This window comes from Homo sapiens, chromosome 12 (assembly GCF_000001405.40).
Source record: "Homo sapiens chromosome 12, GRCh38.p14 Primary Assembly".
NCBI lineage: Eukaryota > Metazoa > Chordata > Mammalia > Primates > Hominidae > Homo > Homo sapiens.
Genome location: NC_000012.12, coordinates 99,243,777 through 99,266,084, shown reverse-complemented (window position 1 = coordinate 99,266,084; position 22,308 = coordinate 99,243,777). Strand labels below are relative to the sequence as shown.

The following is a 22,308-nucleotide window of genomic DNA, read 5'->3' as shown; positions in this document are numbered from 1 at the left end:
GAAGACTGAAAGCATTTTTCTAGTTCACTCCTTTCTGTATTACCTTGGAAATGACCAACAGATATAAAAGTAAGGAAGAAAAATATCTGTATTAGTATGGGAAGTTAATAATGGGTGACATCTACATGCTGATTATTTCAAGAGTTCTTGCAAGATAGAAGGCAAAGTGAAGTGGATTGAAGACTGAACTGGACTGAAGATATATAATTCCCCGTATGTGAAGAACTCTCCATGGTAGTAACTGGAGAAGACTTTAGAAGGTTAAAGCACGAAGTAAAGAAATACATGGGGGCAGTGAGGAGGTACCATTGGATCCTGCCAGTCCCACTGGAAAGCAAGGATCATGACTTGCTTACTCTTCACTTACACTGAGGGGAACATTGTCACAGTTGGTTCTTAATGAGGACAACTGTGAGAAGCGAAGAATGAGGACACTGCCCCAGTTAACTCCTAGCAGCTCACCTCAAATATAGAAAAGAAACACTGGAATAGAGAAAAAAGTCCCTTTTGTGACTGCTGTTAGTTCTGATCCTCTCCTAACTCGTGATCAGTAGAGCAGTGGTTCTCATCTCTTAATGTGCATCAGAATCACATGGAGGATCTGCTAAAACAGAGATTGCTGGGCCCACCCCAAGATGTTCTAGAGCAGGGCCTAAGAATGTGCATTAATGGTAAGAATCAAGTGGAGAGTTTGTAAAAATATAGATTGCTGGGCCCATCCCCAGGTATTCTGAAGTGAGGCCTAAGAATATGCATTTCTAGTGAGAATCAAGTGGACAGTTTGTAAAAGTATAGGTTTCTGGGGCCCACCCCCAGATATTCTAGAGCAAGGCCTAAGAATTTTCATTTCTAATAAGTGTTCAGGAGATGCTAATGCTGCTGTTCTGGGGTCCACACTATGAGAACCACTGCTATAGACCTGTACTGTCCTTTACAGTAGCCACTACTACATGTGACTATTTAAAGTAAAATTTAAGTTAATAAAATTAAATGAATTTAAAATTAAATTATTGATTTGGACCAGCTACATGTCAAGTGCACAGTAATCATGTGTGGTTAGTGGTTACCATATTGGCCAGCACAGATATAGAACATTTCCCTCATCATAGAAAATTCTACTGAACAGCCCTACACTAGGCCAATGAAGTAAAACTGCGGTGAACATGGCCACCACCAGCCACAATTGCAGGAGGCACATTTGTACTATGTGAATGAAGGACCCTAGAGTTGTGCAATATGGCAGAACTGGCAGTTAACCTAAGCTTTTCCTTTCTTCTCTCTTTTGAATCCTAAAGGTGAAAAGGAGAATTTCCTAAGTCCCTGACAGAACTCATCCCAGGTCCCCAAAAGAGACAAGCTAAGACCACCCTTTGCAACAGTGAGCAAATAGAGAAAGAGCTGGAGACATTAAATGATACCTCAAAAGAGAAGGCTCGTTTTGAGGAATGAAAACAGTGGCATCCTTTGACGTAAAATTTTTCTTAAGAAAAGAGCATTTTCCAAAATGCTAACGTCAAATGGATCTCAATGATATTCAGTAGACTAACGCTGCATGAAACCAGACTAAGCAGTCATGAAGGGTTAAAACTGTAAGATCATAAACGCTTCATGTGGTTGAATAATATTCATATCAAATTCAAAACTGTAAAGAAGGCAAAAAATACACTGGATCATGAGAAACCCAAGTCAGTAAAGTAGAATATTAAGACATTTAATAGACAGAAGAAATGTATAAATAAAAATTACAAGAGAAAAGATAAAACACAGGGGAAAGATCCATGAGATCCAATATGCATATGATAGGAATTTTAGAACGAAAAGTGTAGCAGTGAAGTAAAGCATCAATAAAAGAAAACTCTCATTGTTTGTTTATGAGCTAAAGAATGCCTAGAATAATAAATTACAGATTTACTGAATTTAGCAAAATTTCTGAAATAAATAATTTTAGAAGGGAATTTTAAATTTTTATAATTTCAAGGATAAGGAAAAAGTCATATAAGAATCTAGATAGATATTAAGGTAATAAAACAGATTACTTACAGAAGACAATGGGGAATTGTATATAGAATTTTTAGGGCAATGGATTTGAACTTGAGATTCAAGAATTGTATGCCCAGCCAAGGTGTGCAAGACCATAGTAAGTCATTTTCAGATATGTAATTGTATTAGTCCATTCTCACACTGATATAAAGATACTACCCAAGACTGGGTAACTTATAAAGAAAAGAGGTTTAGTTGACTCACGTTTCACGTGACTAGGGAGGCCTCAGGAAACTTAATCACCATAACAGAAGGGGAAGCAAGCATGTCTTTCATGGCGGCAGGCAAGAGAGAGTGAGTGTGTGTGTAGGAGGAACTGTCAAGCACTTATAAAACCGTCATATCTCATGAGAACTCACTCACTGTCATGAGAACAGCATGGGGGAAACCACCCCCATGATCCAATCAAGTGGGGATTACAATTCGAGATAAGATTTGGGTAGGGACACAGAGCCAAACCATATCAGTAATTTAGAAAACAACCTATCTCTTTGAAGTAATTGCTCAAAGATATACTTCAGTTGATCAAGTGATAAATAAATTCTCAAGAATGGGCAAGGGAAATAGTAGCATAAAGGATTCTAGAATGTAAAATAAAGCTTGTAAGACATAAAATGTTTTCAACTAATTGTTCTCAATATTGTTGTAACACTATAAATCTAAAAGAAATTGAAAAGAGAAGGTATAAAATATACAGTAATATAGTATCAGCACTTTACAACCCAGACTATTTTAATATAAATTGGAAAACGGGGCGTGGGCATGAGTGGGGAGTCAGGGGAACAGAGATAACAAGTCTGCTAATTCCCTCATTTTAGAACTGCAAATGATTTAACAGTAAGGAGCATGGGTACCTTGTTCATGTGCTTCTCCACTACTTAGTAACCCTGTAACCCTGATTGGTTACTTAACATCTAAGCATTCAACTCCTCACCTACGAAATGGGAATACCATAATACCCCAGAGTATTATGGGGTATTATGTGAGGGAACATTGTGTGGGAATGAAATCAGATAATGCATCTGAAGTACTTAACACCTATAAGCACTCAGTAATATTAGCTATTAACTTATAAAGAGAGAAACAAAAATTTACTGATGAAAACAGAGAAAACAGGTCCGAAGATGATTTCGGTAACATAAAAGTAATGACTAACAAAAACTCACACACACACACACATTCCCCTAGTCACTATAAAAGACCAAATGTACTTTATAAAAAGAGAGAAACAAAATCAAATGTATCAGTTATTTGAATATTTCAAGGATTGATATGATACAAATAAACATGTCTCAATTTTTTAGACAATAAATTTTTAGACAAATAAAATAAACATGTCTCAATTTTTTAGGTGAGATTTAAATTTTTTTTAATTACATAAACAGAGTGATCTTATTTTCATTGGGGGAAAATAATGTCCATAAAAAACAAAAGAAAAAATATAAAAATGTTAATAGTAACTTTTGTTAGGTGTTGGAATTATGAGTGTCTTTCTTCTCTCTTTACTTTTACTAATAACTAGAATGAACAGATATTATTTTATAAACAGAATAAAAGGTTATTTTATTTTAAAGTCACTTATTGTTAATCACTGTTAACATTTAGCTATGTTGATATCACTCTTGAATTTTTCTTCACATGCAAATATCTATATATTTATTTCACCCCATCAGTCAAAGAATGTTTATTGATTATCCACTATGTTCCAGCCTTTGTTCTAATTTCTGGATATAGCAATGAAATGATAGGGACAAAAATGTCTCTCCTCCTAAGATAGCATAAGTAAGTAAAATATATATTTTTTTATATTTATAGGTGTCGTGGAGAAACTATAAAGCAGGGAAGGGAATAAGAATTAGTGGTTGCCATTTAAAATGGTGTGATCCATGGAGGCCTTATTGAAAAAATTATGAAGTAAGGTTTCGTTAGGAATAGATATTTGAAGAAGGTGTTGGAGGAGGGGCTACTTCCTAAGGGAAGAAAATCCCAGGCAGAAAAAACAAGTACAAAGGTCATGACCCAGAAGAATGCCTAATGCATTGGAGTAACAGCAAGAGGCAATATAGCTGGATGTCAGTTAAGGGAAAAGGAGTGTAGTAGGAGCTTATGTTATTTAAGAGAATTGGGGCAGAGTATCCACAGGTCTGAGATCACGTATGGCCTCACAGGTTATTGTAAGGATCCTGGCTTTTACTCAGAGTGGATCAAGGTGCCATTGAAGAGTTTTGAGCAGAGGAGTGACATGATTTGCCTTAGTTTTACTAAGATAACTCTGACTTCTATGTTGAGAATTGCCTGTGAGGTGCAAAAATGAAAGCTAGGAGATGGTTAGGAGGCTGCTACAATAATCCAGGGAGAAAAGGACAAGTGAGGCATAGGCAGGTTGCAGTTATATTTTAAAGGTAGAGCCACCAGGATTCGCTGTGTGATTGGCTGTGGGGTGTGAGAGAAAAGGAGGCATAAGGATAACTAAGACAGTAGGATATACAAGTCTGGAGTGTGGGGGAGAAGTCAGGTTGAAAACAGAAACTTGGGTGTTGCAGTTGTTTCAGTAATATGTTAAACCCTGGGGCCAGCAAAGGAATTAATGTAAACAGAAAATGTAAACAGGAAAGAGGTCCCAGTATGCCAAGCCCTGGAGCACTTGAATGCTTCCACATTTGGAAACAGAAGGAATGAGCAGAGAATGAGAAGGAACAGCCTAGGAGGTAGGATGAAAACCAGAAGAGTGTGGTACCTTGGGAGTTAATGAAAGTGTTTCATCCAAGAGGTGATAATCTGTATCAATTGTATAGCTGGTAGGTCAAGTAAGATGAGAGTTATGAATGTTCATTTCAGGAAGGTAGAGATTTTGCTGATATTGTTAAGGGCTATTCGGTGGAGGTAGGTGGAATAAAAGCCTATTTGGAGTAGATTTAAGAGACTAGCATTTAAGAGACTTTTCTTTTGCAGAGCTAGAACACCACTTTCCATATTTTCTTACTTTAGGTTAATATTTCTCTTCCTGTGTTAAAGAGGTAGAAATTGTCATTTGATTGCATTTAGTTTTTTCCTATGCATGGAAAATTACATGAGGCCCCAACCTGAAAATTTCTGTGAGATAGTTGCTAAATGAATATGTCATTTACCAACACCTCAGCTAAAGTGGATCTTTCCAGCTTCTGTGATCATGAAAAACCCAAGCAAATCTATGAGCCTTTTGTTTAGGCTCTCTGGCTGCTATCTTTACAATGTCTTCTTTAATTGGTTGAAGGGTCATGTGAAAGATAACCATAAATGATCGATTTTCTAAGCCATTTTACATACATTTAAAGCATATTTTTTTCTTCTCTCTGAATCAGATGGAAACACTCGCAGAGTTGAACATCATTGTTGCCATGGCTATAGCACCAAAGCCTTATAGAGGATTTTTGTTTTACATTGGATATCTCTTACCATAGCAACAGCAAAGTTGATTTAAAACATACTCCCTAGATATAATTTATCTTTAACGTTTCTGTATATTTTCTATGGTGTATCTTGTTAATAGTATTACACTTTTGATAACTCTCCTGCTCTTTTGAAATGAAGTATCTCTTGAGATACGTATGAGAAAAATCTAGGCTGTTCATTGCTTACAGGAATAGAAAACTCACAGGATACATTTGAATGCACTGCATTCTCAGAGCTTTTACTGAGGACATTTGGGTGACTTTGAATTCAAATTCAAGGTATAACTTTTGAAAATTGAATCGGAGTGGTTATTCATTTTAGAGTAATTAAAAATAGTTTCTGTCCCTTTTATATTACAAAATCACTTTCTTTTTTATTTAAAGATCGTAGATCTTTTTTTGTTTTATTTCTTCAGAATAGTTCTTTTTTCACATTCATAATCCATTGGGATAGTATATAAATGGGAAGTTATTAAAATAAGTTAAACCAAAGGACCAACACTCTTGAAAACAACCGACTTGAGTTAAAGAGGCTATTTCCTCTCTTCCCCCAATACAGTCTCTTCTGATGAGGAAAATACATGGTTACAGTGACTGTGGTATTACAAAGAAATACATTTTGGTAAGAGAGAAACAAAACCTCTTGGTTCTGATGTAGTTATTCACTAGACGCCATTTATTCATCTGGCTCTAGGCTATGGGAAATACTCCTAGCACAGAACTCTCTTTGAAATCCTTAACTCCCTAGGGAGGCAGAGATAGCTGAGAAACTGCCCCTGTGAACTTGGCTTATACATGGGAAACAAAGAAGTTAGTGGTTGAGGGTAACAGAGGAAAGACGTGTGGGAAGGGTGAATGTCGCTGGCTTCCTTTGCTTGCAACAGGAGCTTCTTTCAATGCAAAGCGCATGCCAAGACAGATCAGGCACTCTACCAAAAAGATACAATAATTTAGTAATACAGTCTGCCCAGGCAGCTTAGCAGCTGGAAATGAGGGAGCCTTGGGATTTGCTATAAACGGTGGGGAAATTGGCTGATAGCCTCTCTCCTGTATTGAGCAAAGGGAACAAGAGAAAAGATTATAAATGTTTGAAATCAGAGTCAAACAGCATGGTCTGCTGTCCAAGAGCTGTCAGAATGTCAGCATTCTCTGGCTTCCGCAGTAAATGCTGAGTTTGGCAGAGTGTAGGGCTAATAGACCAGGAAACAACAGAGCTTACCTGGGTGGCTTTTCAGAAAGGCAGCTGCCGGTCTTAAGTTGCTTAGAAGAGGGAATTTTATTACATGCTCTATCTAACACCATTCAGCATCTAAACATACCAGCAATCTTTGGGCTAATTGTGCAATCAGAATAAATACCCAAAGATCACTACTGATACCTGGAAAGAGGCCCACTGGGTGGTTTTCAAGCTCCAGTGCTACTTGGATAGGACACTCCAGTGGATGGTGCATTGTACTGATGCCATAGGAGGTTCTAGGGTAATCCGACACAAAGCGTCGTGATGTATCGGAAAAAAGCCGGCTTTGCATTAGCCAGATTTATATCTCATACGGGCTCCTCTGTTCACTAGCTATCTAATTCTTCATCAGTGCAAATGCCATAATACCTACTTCAGAGACTTTTGTGAGGATTAAATGAGATAGAATGACCTTGGACATAGAAGGCACACAATATCTATTGGTGGTTCCCCTTACCTAGTATGGAATCTTGGTCTTTGTAATTTTTGAAATAAATTCCTTTCCAGAAAATTGGAGTTTGCTTAAATTAATTTCTTGTATGTTTGGAAACTATAATTGATTTTTTTACATTGGGGAATTAAGGGAATGTCAGTTCTACATAGTTTCCTCTGTGGCTCATTGTTACTTGTTTGACTCACACTTCTATCTCAATGTGAAGGTGACCTGGAAAGTGAACTGGAAAATATTTTCTCAATATTTGGAAAAAAATGAATGTACTAGCTCATCACATAAGTTTACATTATAAGTAAAAAAAAAAAAAAAAAACAAGTGGATAATATTTCTCCCTAATATTTCTAAAACCCAGCACTCCTTTAAAAGCTTGTTGAGACAAGTTGACAGTATATATTATTAAAGTTTAGCTCCTTGCTATCTTTAGTCAAATCAAGTTGATCCAGGATTTATGTACAAAACACACTCTATGATTATTTTGCATGCTTTTTTTTTTAAATGAAGATCATAGACTACTTGGAATTCTTTCAAAATACCAAACCTCCCTTAGTTTCTTTTGTGTTCTTTATAAATATACTTTTTAGGGGGATCTTATTTTAAAAGGATTTGCTTTATTTGAGGCCATAATTAATTAAAATAAGCTTGTTCTTCGTTTATACAATTCTCAGGATAATTTATTGATTATATATTACATCATACATTACAAGACAAAAACATGCAGAGCAAGGCAATTTATTATTAACCCTACCTATGTAGTAGGGTACAAATCATTTAAAGAGTCACGTTAAAAACTTTTGATTCCTAATAAACTGTGGTTTTTTTGAAGTGAAATTGTCACAAATGTACATTTTTAAATAAAAATATTATGCTTCAAAGTATTATGTCAGTCTAGGTACTCTGAGAGATCTTTCTGCAGCAGAACAAATATATTCTGAATAAGACATGTTCTTGAGACATTGCCTGCTCCAGTCACTCTTGCTCTCTAAAAACATCTGATAGAAGAGAGGAGGGCTGTTGTTGTTCTGAGTGCAGATGGGAATAATAGTGTTGCTATTTGGGACACTGTTCCCTGGCTCAGCTGGAAGGCTGGAAGGCTGAGTCAACACAGCTCAGGGAAGCACAAGGTTTTCTCTCTGCAGAAAACCTTCCCTGATGAGATTGACAAGCTTCCATAGATTAAAATCAAGTAATAAAGTTAATAATAAATTATTTCTAAATACCTTGAAAAGCAAACCACTATAAGTAGATATCAACAAAAATAACACAGACATATTTAGCGCTCAATGACTATAGATATTATTACTGGAAATAGGAAACAAGAAATAGAACCACTATATATAAACAAAATATTTAAATAAATAATATGCCTTATCATTAAAATGAGTAAAAAATGGTGACTATAATAGTAGGAAAATTTGAAAAATAAATGGCATTTTCAGATATGAAAAATTTAATACTTGAGATTACTTTTAAAATCCTAAATGAATAGGCTAAATAGCAGATTATGCACAGAAGAAGAGAAAATTGATGAACTGAAGGATACATTTGAAAAAAATTCCCCAAAATGTATCACAGAGGGGCAAAGAGGCAGAAAATTTGGAAGGTATGAAGAGATATGAAGTATGGAATCAGAAGATTAACTTTGAATCAGAGACTCGGGATGAAATAATTTTTTTTTTTTTGAGACGGAGTCTCGCTGTGTTGCCCCGGCTGGAGTGCAGTGGCACCATCTCGGCTCACTGCAAGCTCCGCCTCCCGGGTTCACGCCATTCTCCTGCCTCAGCCTCCGGAGTAGCTGGGACTACAGGCGCCCGCCACAATGCCAGGCTAATTTTTTGTATTTTTAGTAGAGACCGGGTTTCACAGTGTTAGCCAGGATGGTCTCGATCTCCTGACCTCGTGATCCACCCGTCTCAGCCTCCCAAAGTGCTGGGATTACGGCATGAGCCACTGCACCCGGCCGGGATGAAATAATTTTTTTAAAAAATGTAGGAGAGGACATTTTTTGATGGATAATGGCTGATTTTTTTCCAAACTGATAAAAATATGGATTCACAGGTCCAGAAAGCACACTGTATTCCAAGCAGGATAAATAAACAGAAATCCATAGTGAGACACATTATTGTGAAATTGAAAAATACAGAGATTTTCAAACCAGGTGGAGAGAAAGGATGGATCACCCACAAGAAAGACAGGTATCATTATAGCAGAATTAACAAGGAAAGATGAAAGCCACAAAAAAGTGGAATAATTTCTTCAAACTGTGAGAGAAAATAACTATCAACCTAAAATTATGAATTTTAAATAAATGAGAGTAAAATAGAAAGATATTCACAGTTGAAAACTAGAGCATTGACCACCAGAGACCTGTATAAAAGGAAATTCTAAAGAATAACTTTAAGAAGGAAAATGATCTCAGGCCATTCTGAGGAACGAATTGTGAGTAAATAAAATGGCAAACATGTAAACCAATTGAAATTTAAAAATGGTCTGAATAAAATAATAACACCTGATTTGTAAAGCTAACAAAATAATTAAAACACTGACAACAATATTTATTATAGAAGAAGTAATTGAATGTAAAATGCTCTAAAGTTTTTAAATTGTTTAGGAAGGAAGTGGATAAGGTATTATTTAACTTTAGACTTTTTTCTTTTTTTTTTCTTTTTTTTTTTTGAGATGGAGTTTCACTCCGTCACCCAGGCTGGAGTGCAGTGACACGAACTCGGCACACTGCAACCTCCAACTCCCTGGTTCAAGCGATTCTCCTGCTTCAACCTCTCGAGTAGCTAGGATTATAGGCACGCACCACCACAGCCAGTTGATTTTTGTATTTTTAGTATAGACAGGGTTTCACCATGTTGGCCAGATATAATATACATATATTTCATAGGAAAAAACATAAGTCTGCTAAAATTAGGTTTCAACACACCTCACTCAATGGAAGAGTTTAAGAGTTCCATTAATAAATTTAATCTGACATAATGCAAAGAGCTTTGTATTCAACAATTGGAGAATACATGTAATTCTCATGAAACAGTCACAAAAAGTGATCTTGACTATAAGCAAGTTTCAACATGTCAAAGACTCATATTCATACACACTATATTTTCTAAAAATAATTCAATTAAGTTAAATTAAGATTCCCATATATATCCCCATATATTTATGAATTTAAATACACGTTTCTAAATAAGTCATGAGAAATGAGTTAAAGGAGATGCCATAATACTAACTTAAAAACCTTTAAAGTTAAACAAAAATATAAATGCTAAATATCAAATGTGATGAATGCAGCATAAAGTGGAACTTAGAAATTTTAAATGCATATATTAGAAAAGAAGAAACGCTGAAGACTAATGAGGTAAATGCCAGCTTAAGAAATTTTATAAGAAATAATAGAATAAATCCAGAAAAGGCATAGAAAGAAAATAGTAAAGGACAGAAATGAATGAAATAGAAAACAAATATGTAATATTAATTCACAAAGCCAGAAATGGAATCATTGGTGACACTAAAAAAATGGATGCACTTTCCAGTCAAAATGATCAAGATAAAAAGGCACAAATAAACCTATTAGGAAAGAAAAGGGGGTAAATCTACAGATACAAAAAACCATTCAAAGTTAAGAAAGAAGAATGAATAATTTTGTACCAGTGAATTTTAATACTGAGAAAAATTAGACAAATTCTAGATAATTAAAACTTTAAAAAACTTCAAAAAGGTATAGAGACTCCAGATAGTTCTATACTAAATAAATTTAATGAATAATTTGAAATCTTTCCACAAAGAATATGTTGAGTCTAGATGATTTTAAAGGTAAAGTAAATATAAAGGCTTTCAAGAAACATATCGTTCCAATCTTATATAAACTCTTCTAGGGAAATGGAAATTTTCCCCAACTATTTCTGTGAGGTGAGTAATCATGTAAAAACTAGACAGAATAAAAAAGGTAAAACCAAAGGCCTATTTCTTTCATGAACATAGATGGAAAGATCCCAAAGTACTAACAAACCAAATCTAGCAGGATGCCAAAAAGAAAGTTCATTATGACCACACTGAGTTTATCCTGTTGGTATCCCATTAATATCTAATGTTTAACATTAGAGAATGTACAAATGTCATTCACACTAACAGAGTAAAGGAGAAAAATTACATAACTGAACAGATGCAGAAAAACATTCTTTATAAACTCAATATCTAGTCACAATTAAAATTCTCAGCAACCTTAGAAGATAAGACATTTAACTTAATAAAGGGCATCTACCCAAAACTTAGAGCAAACATTATTTTTAAGATGAGATTACTGTTCTCAGTTCTTTACTCTCTCTTCTGCCATGGTACATTGCAGTGCAGTAGCATAGGTGGCCATTTACATCCTCACTCCATTTACTTTAGGTTTAGACATATGACTTTCTTCTGTCAAGAAGTAATAGCGTGCCAGTTCCTACAGCTGAGATAGAAAGAGGCATCACATATTTCCACTGTGAAAAGACACATCATGTAGCCTCTGAACAACTCTACTGTACACTCATGAGATAATGAAAGTGAAATGGGCAAATAATGTCTTAGTGTTAGTCTGAAAATTGTTTTGACTTCATGAAACTTCTGAAATAATCTTGGAGACCCCAAGCATCCCTGGACTACACTTTGATAACTACTAATTTAGTGTATATGTTCTACAGGCAAGTACATTCTTACACAACCACAGAACCACCGTGCAACCAAATCAGAAAGTTAATACATCACTAGCATCTATTCCTCAGACCTCCTTCAAGATGTGCTGGTTTACCCAATAATATTGTTTATGATCAAAGGATCTAGTTCAGGATCACACGTTGCATTTAGTTGTAATGTCTCCTTAGTTTTCTTCAGCCTGGAAGGGTTCATTTGACTTTCTTTGACTTTCATGACCTTGACACTTCTGAAGATTACAGGCCAATTATTTTGTAGAATGGCCCACAAATTGGATTTCTCTGATATTTCTGATATTCCTATATAATTAGATTTAGGTTGTACATCTTTGGCAGGAAAATCCAAAAGTGATTCTGCATTTTTCTCATTGCATCTTTACCACACTGGATATGATTTTGATTTGTTCCATTACTGATATTGTTCACTTTGATCATTTGATTAAGATAGGGCCTCCCAGATTTCTTCACTGTAGCGTGTCTCTTTTTCCTCTTTCTAATTAATAAGTATTTTGTGGGGAGGCAATTTGAAATTATTTAGGATTCCCATTCCTAGTCAAACTTTTAAATCATTTGTTTATTTATGGGCTCGTGTCTTTCTGTTTTATTCAGTGGGTTATAATCCATTACTGTCATTATTTATTTTATTCCTAAAATTGCCCTCTATCTAAATCCTTTTTTGTTTCCCACGTTTAATGAGAAGGGATGTCATGGATTAGGAAGAGATTCCTGTATGGGAGCAGGGATGAGCCACAGTAGCCATGAGCCCTTCACATCTCAAGGGCCTTCTCCTTTGCAGTTACGATGAAGTATTAAGAAATACAGGTTTTTCTCTGCTTGATTCAGGAAGGCTTCCTGCTACTACCTCAGTGTTCTTGAGTTCCATGCGCCTGCCTTCCAAAGTGGTGCTCTCACATCTGAACACTGTGCTTTGCTATTCTATTACATTCAAAGTCTCCCTCTACTGGACATCTGCCTGATGCCACCCCCACTGCCTTTTTTTTTTTTCTAGAGAAGGTCTCACTCTGTTGCCCAGACTAAGTGCAGTGGCATGATCAAAGCTCACCGCAGACTTGAACTCCTGGGCTCAAGCAATCCTCCCATCTCAGTCTCCTGAGTAGCTGGAACTCACAGGCACTCATTATCATGCTTAAATTTCTTTTAAACACTTTTTGTACAGATGAGGTCTTGCTATGTTGCCCAGGCTGGTCTCAAACTCCTGGGCTTAAGTGATCCTCTCGCCTTGGCCTCCCAAACTGTTGGGGTTACAGGTGTGAGCCACTGCACCTGGCCCCTACTGCCCCATTATATGAAATGTTTTTCTCCCTCACATCTTTGGTGTTTTCACCCTGTGCAATTTGTATTCTTCTCCCAGAAGTTTTTCTTCAGAGTGGATCTGTAGCCTACTACAAGTATGCATTTATTGGAGATTTCTGATATTCTCAAGGGAGTAAGCTACTTCCTGTGGTCTTGTTACAAGATGTGTACAAGTTCTGCTAGTTGTTCTCAAATTTTACTGCACACTCCTGCTTAGCACAAGACCCTCTCCTTTGGGAAATCAGTATCTGATGGCAATTTCTGGGTTCCATGGCTTGTAGGTGCCATTGAATTTCCCTTTCTCTTCACCACTATAGCTGCATCACTGCTGATTCAGTTCCGGATCCTACTGCTGTCATGTGATTTGGCTACACCCCTCTGTGTTTCGGGGCCATGGGGACTTCTTAATACTTAGCTTTACTGGAGATATCACCTGTAGTGTTTTTCCTTTATTTTGCTATCATGTGCTCATTTTATTCTTTTACTATCCCCGTGTCTTGTTTTTATGAGAATTGAGGTGAATAATTTAAAAAGAACACTATGCTGTTGTCATGTTCAGAAATACCAATTATCTTCTAAAAGTATAAGTCATATCACCCCAACCCTATTCCTACCTGCATCTCTGATTCAATCGTCAGCCATTCTACTAATCCCCTACCACTCTATTATAGCCACACTGGCCTTCTTACTGTTCTTACCAGCCTTAGGGACTTTTCATATCTTCTTTCCTATGCCTTGAAATAATCCTCCCCCAAAACATTGAATGATTTACACTTTCACAGTCATTTCTATGTCTGCTCAATGTCAGCTCCTGAGAAAGACATTTCCTAATTGCCTTATAGCATCTTCCTTTCGTTTCTATCTCATTACTTTGCTTTATTTTTTTCACAGCACATACCATCATCAGAAATTATAGCATTTCTTGATTTGCCTGTAGTCATCTTTTCTGCTGGAATGTAGGCACCATGAAGGCAGGACATTGCCTTTGACACTGCTGAAACTTTGCCACCTGATATACAGGAAACGTTTTATACATATTTGTGAAATAAATTCACAGTTTCTACTAATATCAACATCAGCCCCGGTATCCTTAAAAATAGGAAAAATTTTTATTTTCTAAATCAGATGCAATGACCCAATAGACAAAAGTTATACTCTATAATAGAAAAAAGTAACTTGTTTTCTATAATTTTTCCATAGCATGAAATTTTGGATTTTATTGTTAATCAGGTGATATATAGGTGATAAAAATCATAGCAAAGGTGGATAAAAAGAGATTGAACTGCTTCCTATTGGACATTTACTCTGACATTTCTTTGAAATGCTAATGATGCCTTGAATAACTATCAGATTGGAATTCACACATATTTAGTTCTGTACCTTGGCATGAAATATCCACTTATCAAAAGAGAAGTGTAAAATTAAATGAGACAAGTTATGACAACAGTTTAATCTGTATATTTTCCTCCGTTTTGTCTGAAGAAAGGGTAAGAAAACACAAAAAATTCTTTCCAAAGTATACTTTTTAAAATATACAAACAGAAACAAAGGAGTAAATCCCACATGATTATTATGTCAAAATAATCTTTATTGAGTGTCTAATACAGTTATTACTGTATTTCTTTATAAAAATGAAACCCTATAGATTAAAAATTATTGTTATAATAGTAGAAACATATTCTTAGTGTTCTATGCAGCATATATTGTTCTAACTGTTTTACTTCTTGCCATGGTCCAAATATTTGTGTTCTACCAAAATTCATATGTTGAAATCCCAGCCCCCAAAGTGATGGTAATAGGAGGTGGGCCTTTTGGTAGGTGATTAAGTCATGAGGACAGAGACCTTATAAGAGAGACTCCAGAGAGCTCCTTTGCTCCCTCCACCATGTGAGGACCCAGGCAAGATGGTGCCCTCTATGAACCAGAAAATTAACCCTCTCCTGACACCAAATCTGCAGGTGTCTTGATCTTGGACTACTCAGCCTCTAGGCCTGTGAGAAATAAATATCTGTTGTTTGTAAGCTACCTGGTTTATGAAATTTTGTTATATCAGCCCAAATGGACTAACACATTTATTATTCTATGATTTCATTCAATCTTCACAGCACTTTTAGGTATGTTCTATTACTATCATCATTTTCCAGATGTGGAAATATAAACATTGCCAGAATTTATTTTGAAGAATATATTAATTCTTTAAAACTTGGGATATAGTTTATATTTTCATATATCAAACCCTCCCAAACTTAATGGCCATTAATATTGCTCATGATCCTGGTGGGTGTCTTCTTCTGGCCTGGGAAAACCTCAGCTCCTCTTAGCTGTGCTTGCTGATGCATCGGTGGTATTGGCAGAATGGCCTGAATTTGGTAGGTCCTAGATGCCCTCACTCACATAGGTGGAAGTTGGCTGGCTTTTGGTTGGGGTGACAGGACTGGCGGATGTATTAACCATGTCTTTTTATTTTCTATTTTATTTGTGTATTTTTATTTTTATGCTTTGGTCTCTTGAGCTCTTGCTGTGGAGGGACGGCCCCTCCTGGGGCTAGCTAATTCCTAGAGATAGTAAACAGCTCACCAGAGAGCATGCTTTTCTTATGCAAACTAACAATCGTAGAGCCCATAGTCCCAATTACCTCCTTCATCTGGCTCTCACTCTCTAGGCCACTATTCATTCACCTGCTCTAATGACCAGACAACTAGGTACAGTTCTTATGCCCCAGAGTCTGCTGAAACTATTCAAACTAGCCATTCCTAAACCTGCTTATACCTGCTTTGTGTGTTTCTTTTCATGGAAACCATAGTAAAGGCTCTTGCCCACAATCTCCCCTCACTTTGTCAGCCTCCTCCTGATGGACCCTGGTAGTTCCCTGTGTGGCCCCTATAATGTGGCATGCCTCTCGGATCAATGAGTAGAGCGTCTATCTTTCAATGGCAATTGTCTCCTGATCTGTTGGTTTCAACATACCTGAAAAATATAATAAAACCTACATTTTGAAACAGCTGGGTAATGTGTCACCTCATCATCCAGCAGGCCAGCCTGGCTTGTTCACATGGTGTCAGGGTTCCAAGAGCAACAAGGGAACAAGTCTAATGCACACATGCTTTTCAGAGGTCTCTGCTTATATCACATTTGCTGCAGTCTGATTGAGCGGTACAAGGCACATGGCCACGCTGTGAGGGAGTCAGCGTGAGAGGACTAGATACGGGGAGGGCTGTGTCTGCAGGGAGCTGTGAGCAGACTGGGGCCATAACTGCAATCAATCCACCACACAGGCTTTCCAGGAGGCTTCATATCAACTTCTCCTTTTCTTTGACTTGAATAATCTTTAGGATTTGGCCACTGGAAAAAGCAAGTAATATTTGTCTTTTCACCACTCTTGGCAGAAATGTTACCATCACAATGCTAAGAACTGCTATTCAAAAAACTAAGCTTTATAAGCTAACAATGAAATTATCTTTTACTTTGAGAAGTGACTGCTTGTGATTGGAGGACTTGGACAGTGTAAAGCATTGTGGGGTGGTAATTATAGTCATTGTAGTCAAACTACAGAGGGGATGGTAACCTAATAATAATATTTGCAGAAAACTTTAAATAATATTACGCCCCTAAAATTCTCATTTTTCTAGATAATGAACATCGTCGGAAACTCTTTTGGCTGAGATTTACAGAATCTTTTTCCCACAATAGGCAAGCTCTTTTCAATTTTCCTTTCAAATTCAGACCTTTTATCCTTCTTCAGCAACTTTCAAAATGAAATTCTAAAACTTCCTTATTTCAGAATTCCTCCTTCCTACCACCTTAATCCCCATTATTGTCACCCATACCAACCTGCTTATGTTGTAAAGCACTCTGTGAGATCCAAGTAGCCTAAGAAAAAAAATGCATTGGAACAAGATGCCAGGTCTTATTTTCTTCTTAGTATTAGCTTATCTCCAAGAAGAAAACAAAACAAAACAAAGAAAAAGCTCTGATGCTTTTAGTCCACTTTTCCCAAATTCCAGATACAGTCATGAACAGGAGAAGCATGTCTCTTTACAAAGAGCCTACTTGCTTGTCCTATGGATAAACCAACCCTAGATTTTTTTAAAGCTTATCTTTAATAGCAATATATTTGCAAGGCCAATGGATGTCAGAATCTGATAGACCTTAATTTGAATCTCAGCTTAATTGCTTACTAGGTGGGGAAATGTCTGTGTCTTAAGTTGTCTAAGTGTTAGTTTTGACTTCTTAAAAATGCACATACTCAGTGATAAACTCTAGTCTTTGGAGAGAATTGAAAGCTGCCTTATCCCACTATCCACTCACTATTCTACCCCTAGAATGGTCTCTGTTGTGAAAGGAAAATAAAATAGAGAGTTATCAAGACAGTGTGGCTATTTTAGAAAGTGATGAGGTTTTATCGTTCTGTTTTGTTTTTGTGAGAAGACAGTGAGTATAATAGTAGTAGATGGATGCAGATTGTTGCATTTGTAGATTCATGTGTCTTGGATCTCTCTTCCTGTCACTCTTCTTTCTTCAATCTCAGGATGCTGGTATGATAGCTGGGCAGGCAAACATCTTCTCTTTGGAAAAATCAAGCAGGAACCAGGGTGAAGTCTAGAGATACATAGCTAGGAATATACCTGCTTTCACCAGTTCCCAGGCGGAGAGCAGTATAGACACCTGGGGCCAATCTTCACTATAAAGAGCAGATGTGCCTGTAGCATCTTCTGAGCCAATGTCTAATAAGATTTATTATGGTTGCCAATTTCTTAAAAATGTGAGAATTCGATATTTTGGCCATCTCGTTCCATCACAAAATCATAATTATTATTAATAATCACTTCATAGGATTGTTATGGGTGTCAAATGAGATGATATAATTCCTCATTCAGTGCCTAGTAAATAACACTTACCCATTAAATGTTACTTGTTAATTTATAAAAATGTTAGTGTTTGGGGTTTATGGTAATAATTAACTTACTGAAAGTACGAATCAGCACATCAACTTTGGATTTGTTGTCATTATGTACCACATTTACTATACTTTAGTTCTTTGCAACAGTGAGTTATGGGCTTATCAGGTAATTTAAATTTTCATCTTGGCAATATTTAGCTATTGATATGAATTAAAATGAACACTGAAAAAAAGGACACTTCCTTTCTTTGCTAAATTCTTTGGCCAGGTTTTTACACAGTATGTCTTTGAAAGACAAATTAAGTCGCAAAAAGCATGGTGTATTTTAAATCTCAGAGAAAATGTGTGTTTTATCTTAGAAAAAAATCCAAAGGAATAAAAATTATCATTCATCATTGGTTTCTTTTCTGCATTACATCTTCAAAGATCTGAAGAAATTAGAAAATAGCTAATGCCGTTTCAGAGAAGAAAGAAAAAGCTACCTTTGTGTTCATAGCTAAACATTAGTTTCTTATATTGGAGTCTCTCTTTTTCTGATACTGCGTTGTTTGCCTTTGTTAAGTCTGAACAAATTTTTTTTGTCTAAATTATGTAATCTGCATAGAATTATTTTAAATTTATATTTAAGGTAATATCAGGATTATTAAACTTCAATTACTTTTAATAATACCTTTTTTCAAAATTTGGTTTTTGAATTTATTTGCTGGGAGGAGGGCAGAGGGTTGTCATTATATATGACCTTGACTTACCTGCCTAGTGTTCTACTTCACGATGATTCATTTACTGTGAGAGTTTAGATGTGTGTGTTCTACTTTAAGAAAACCCAATTTTGTTCATTGGCTATAAAACATACACCCTGGGTTCAAGGGAGAAGTGAATGAAGTCATTCAATTAATACACAATTCATACTTTTGAAATGAACTCTAAGGTATATCAGAAAGAATGATTCACACATGCATACACACGCACACACACTCATACATTCATTCTATACATGGCACTGTGGGGTCAGGGGTATTTCATAAAGTGAAGGTATTGCTATGTAGCAGTAAATGAAATGTTTGGATAGCCCACATGTTCATAAGGGCACTGCTATTATATCGTGGCTTTCAGAACCTTTATAAACCCTGATATCCCTTCCTTCCTTTTGCAGATGACCTCTCCCGACAGGATGACAATGATCCCCCAAAAGAATATGATCCTGGGCAATTTGCAGGCCTGCTCCATGGATCCTCTCCAGCCTGTGAGTCCCCTGAAAATCCATTTCATCTCTATGGGAAAAGAGAACAATGTGAAAAAGGACAAGATGAAGTCAGTTTGGCAAACAGTCCTTTGCCTTTCAAGCAGTCTCCAATAGAAAATAACTCAGAACCTTTGGTAAAGAAAATTAAACCCAAAGTGGTCAGTAGAACAATTTTTCACAAAAAAAGCAACCAACTCGAAAACCATACCATTGTTGGCACAAGATCAACCAGGAGTGGATCTCGGAATGGGGACCAGTGGGTTATGAACGCAGGGGGATTTGTGGAGAGAGCCTGTACTCTGGGGAGAATAAGGTCATTGCCTAAAGCCTTGATCGACATGCATTTGTCAAAAAGTGTCTCTAAATCTGATTCTGATCTCATTGCCTATCCTTCCAATGAGAAAACATCAAGAGTTAACTGGAGTGAATCTTCCACTGCTGAACACAGTTCTAAAGGGAATTCTGAAAGAACACCATCCTTCACATCGGAATGGGAAGAAGTAAGCTTTGTTCTTCTTGCTGTTCATCCTATAAGGCTTTGCAGTTGAGGGAGGTTTGGGGGAAGGATTTTCAGCTTTTTAGCTCTTTCAAAAGCAAGAAAAAAAAAAGCATACGGCTCCAACTGGAATGAAATGGTTCTGTGGGTAATGCATGGTAATTTCACAGCAAGTATAAAAACAAACACTGTTCCACACATGTGGGTTAATCTATTGTTTCCATAGAAATTGATATCAAGCAGAAGTAATAACTAGCTATGAGGTACAAGAGAATATTCACATCTCGTCCTACCAAGCACTGCAGCTGACAAATCGAGAAAAAGCTCAGTATTTTGCTCTGTGTTGTTTTGCTACTTGCCAAACTCTTTGTTAGTTTGTCTCCCTTCTTTAAAGTATCTTATATTTTCAGAAGAGCTCCTTAGAATCTTCATAGTAAATAAAGTTTCCTAGCTCTTCTCCAGCCACCATACAATAAACACACATCATTTGATATTTCCCTTTTGCAGCTATCAGGGAAATAAAGAAAAAAATGTTTGAGGTTCAAATATCACCAATTTCAGTTCTACTTAAAGTGTTTAATTTCATACAGTCTCTCTTGGTATTTCATTCTAACACATCACATATTGTCTCTGAAAAGACTGTACCAGTTGGATTAGGTTTAGAAGCACAATAGATCATTATAGTATTTGGAGAACTAGAAATGGATATGGTCTGATAGTGATATTCTGAACTGAGCTGTTTGGGAAAATCACTTAATATCTCTGCATCTGTTTCAGGGTGAACAAACTGGGACATTTAAGTAATGCCCATTGTCCTTTCTGAAACCTGCTATCTTATTCAGGTTGCTAACATCAAGAGAGTCATTAAGCCATAAATTGCTATAGCTTAGACCATCATATCTTCCTTTAAATTCCATACTAGTAGATGGTTAGTTTTTCAAGTATAGCCATTTCTTATATTTATTAATTTAGTGAATAACATCTGAGATCCTTTTGTAGAGGCAGGATTAATTAACATTTAACTTAGATCTTATAATTAAGTTGTTTTCATGACTAGATGCTGGTGATTGGATGTCAGTAATCAGCTTGTGGTTGGTCAAACCATTTGGTTAGAACTTGCTCCAGGCCGGGAATGGTGGCTCATGCCTGTAATCCTAGCACTTTGGGACGCCGAGGCAGGTAGATCACTTGAGGCCAGGAGTTCAGAAACATCCTGGCCAACATGGCAAAATCACATCTCTACTAAAAACACAAAAATTAGCCAGGTGTGGTGGCATATGCCTGTAATCCCAGCTACTTGGGAGGCTGAGGCACGAGACTCATTTGGACCTGGGCGGCGGAGGTTGCAGTGAGCTGAGATGGTGCCACAGCACTGTAGCCTGGGCAACACAGTGAGATTCTGTCGAAACAAAAAACAGAAAACTTTGCTCCTGTGGCCGTGCTCTCCACACCCTGAAACCTGCTCCTTTACCAGTTAGATGGGATGCATGTTCTTAGGCAGAAGAAGAAGGGTGCCAGAGAGCAGAGACTTTGTCACATGAATTTATCTACAGTCCTTCTGAGTTTGAAGAATACACAGTTCCTAAATGACCAATCTATCCAAGTACAAAGTTTATTTCAAGAAACACAAAGAAAAGGCAAACTAATTTTGAAAGTTTAAGAAAGGGGAACATACTTTACATTTTAATAAAACAATCCGAAAGATGTTTGCTTTCCTTTAAATATTTCGCTATGCATCTCTTAACTGTGGAACACTGTGGTAATAACATCAAAAATATTTGCTCCCTTCATTTGAAACTTATTTTAAAATACAATGTTAAAAGTGAATGTAACAATCCATTTAAATGGTTTTTGTTTCTTACAGATTGACAAAATAATGAGTTCCATAGATGTTGGAATCAACAACGAACTTAAAGAGATGAATGGTGAGACCACAAGTAAGGCAACCTTCCTCTACATTATAATGAATAAATGTGCTTAAGGAGTAGTGAGAAAATGATAGGAATCTTTAGATAATTGCATTTTTTTCATTATAACAATAACTACAAATTATTTCCTTCCACTCTCAGATCTAACAACAATGACATATAAGCAACATCAGTTATAAGAATATTGACTTAGCAAATTGAGAGGATTTTTTCCCATGTGCTATTTTACTATGCCAGTGAAGTTTTTCTTTTTTTTTTTTAGAATTTTTTAATAATACTTTTAATTTAAATATATTTCAAACTCTCTGTTGGTTGTAAGTCTTTTTTTTATTATTATACTTTAAGTGCTAGGGTACATGTGCACAATGTGCAGGTTTGTTACATAGGTATACATGTGCCATGTTGGTTTGCTGCACCCATCAACTCGTCATTTACATTAGGTATTTCTCCTAATGCTATCCCTCCCCCAGCTCCCCACCCCGCAAGAGGCCCTTGCATGTGATGTTCCCCACCCTGTGTCCATGTGTTCTCATTGTTCACTTATGAGTGAGAACATGTGGTGTTTGGTTTTCTG

The 22,308-nt window shown here is 36.5% G+C and overlaps 1 protein-coding gene across 22 annotated transcripts in view; it reads left to right on the top strand.

Moving 5' to 3' along the window:
* Window positions 1-22,308, top strand: part of ANKS1B (ankyrin repeat and sterile alpha motif domain containing 1B) — a 1,250,151-nt gene that overhangs the window by 718,852 nt on the left and 508,991 nt on the right. For 19 of the 22 annotated variants that reach the window (XM_006719507.5, NM_152788.4, XM_006719513.5 and 16 more), the window contains 2 exons: window positions 19,221-19,810; window positions 21,671-21,743. In XM_006719507.5, coding sequence (XP_006719570.1) covers window positions 19,221-19,810; window positions 21,671-21,743 — 663 coding nt within the window. The remainder of the gene's footprint in view (window positions 1-19,220; window positions 19,811-21,670; window positions 21,744-22,308) is intronic. The other 3 variants (XM_006719514.5, XM_005269029.6, XM_017019652.3) reach the window with 1 other exon arrangement.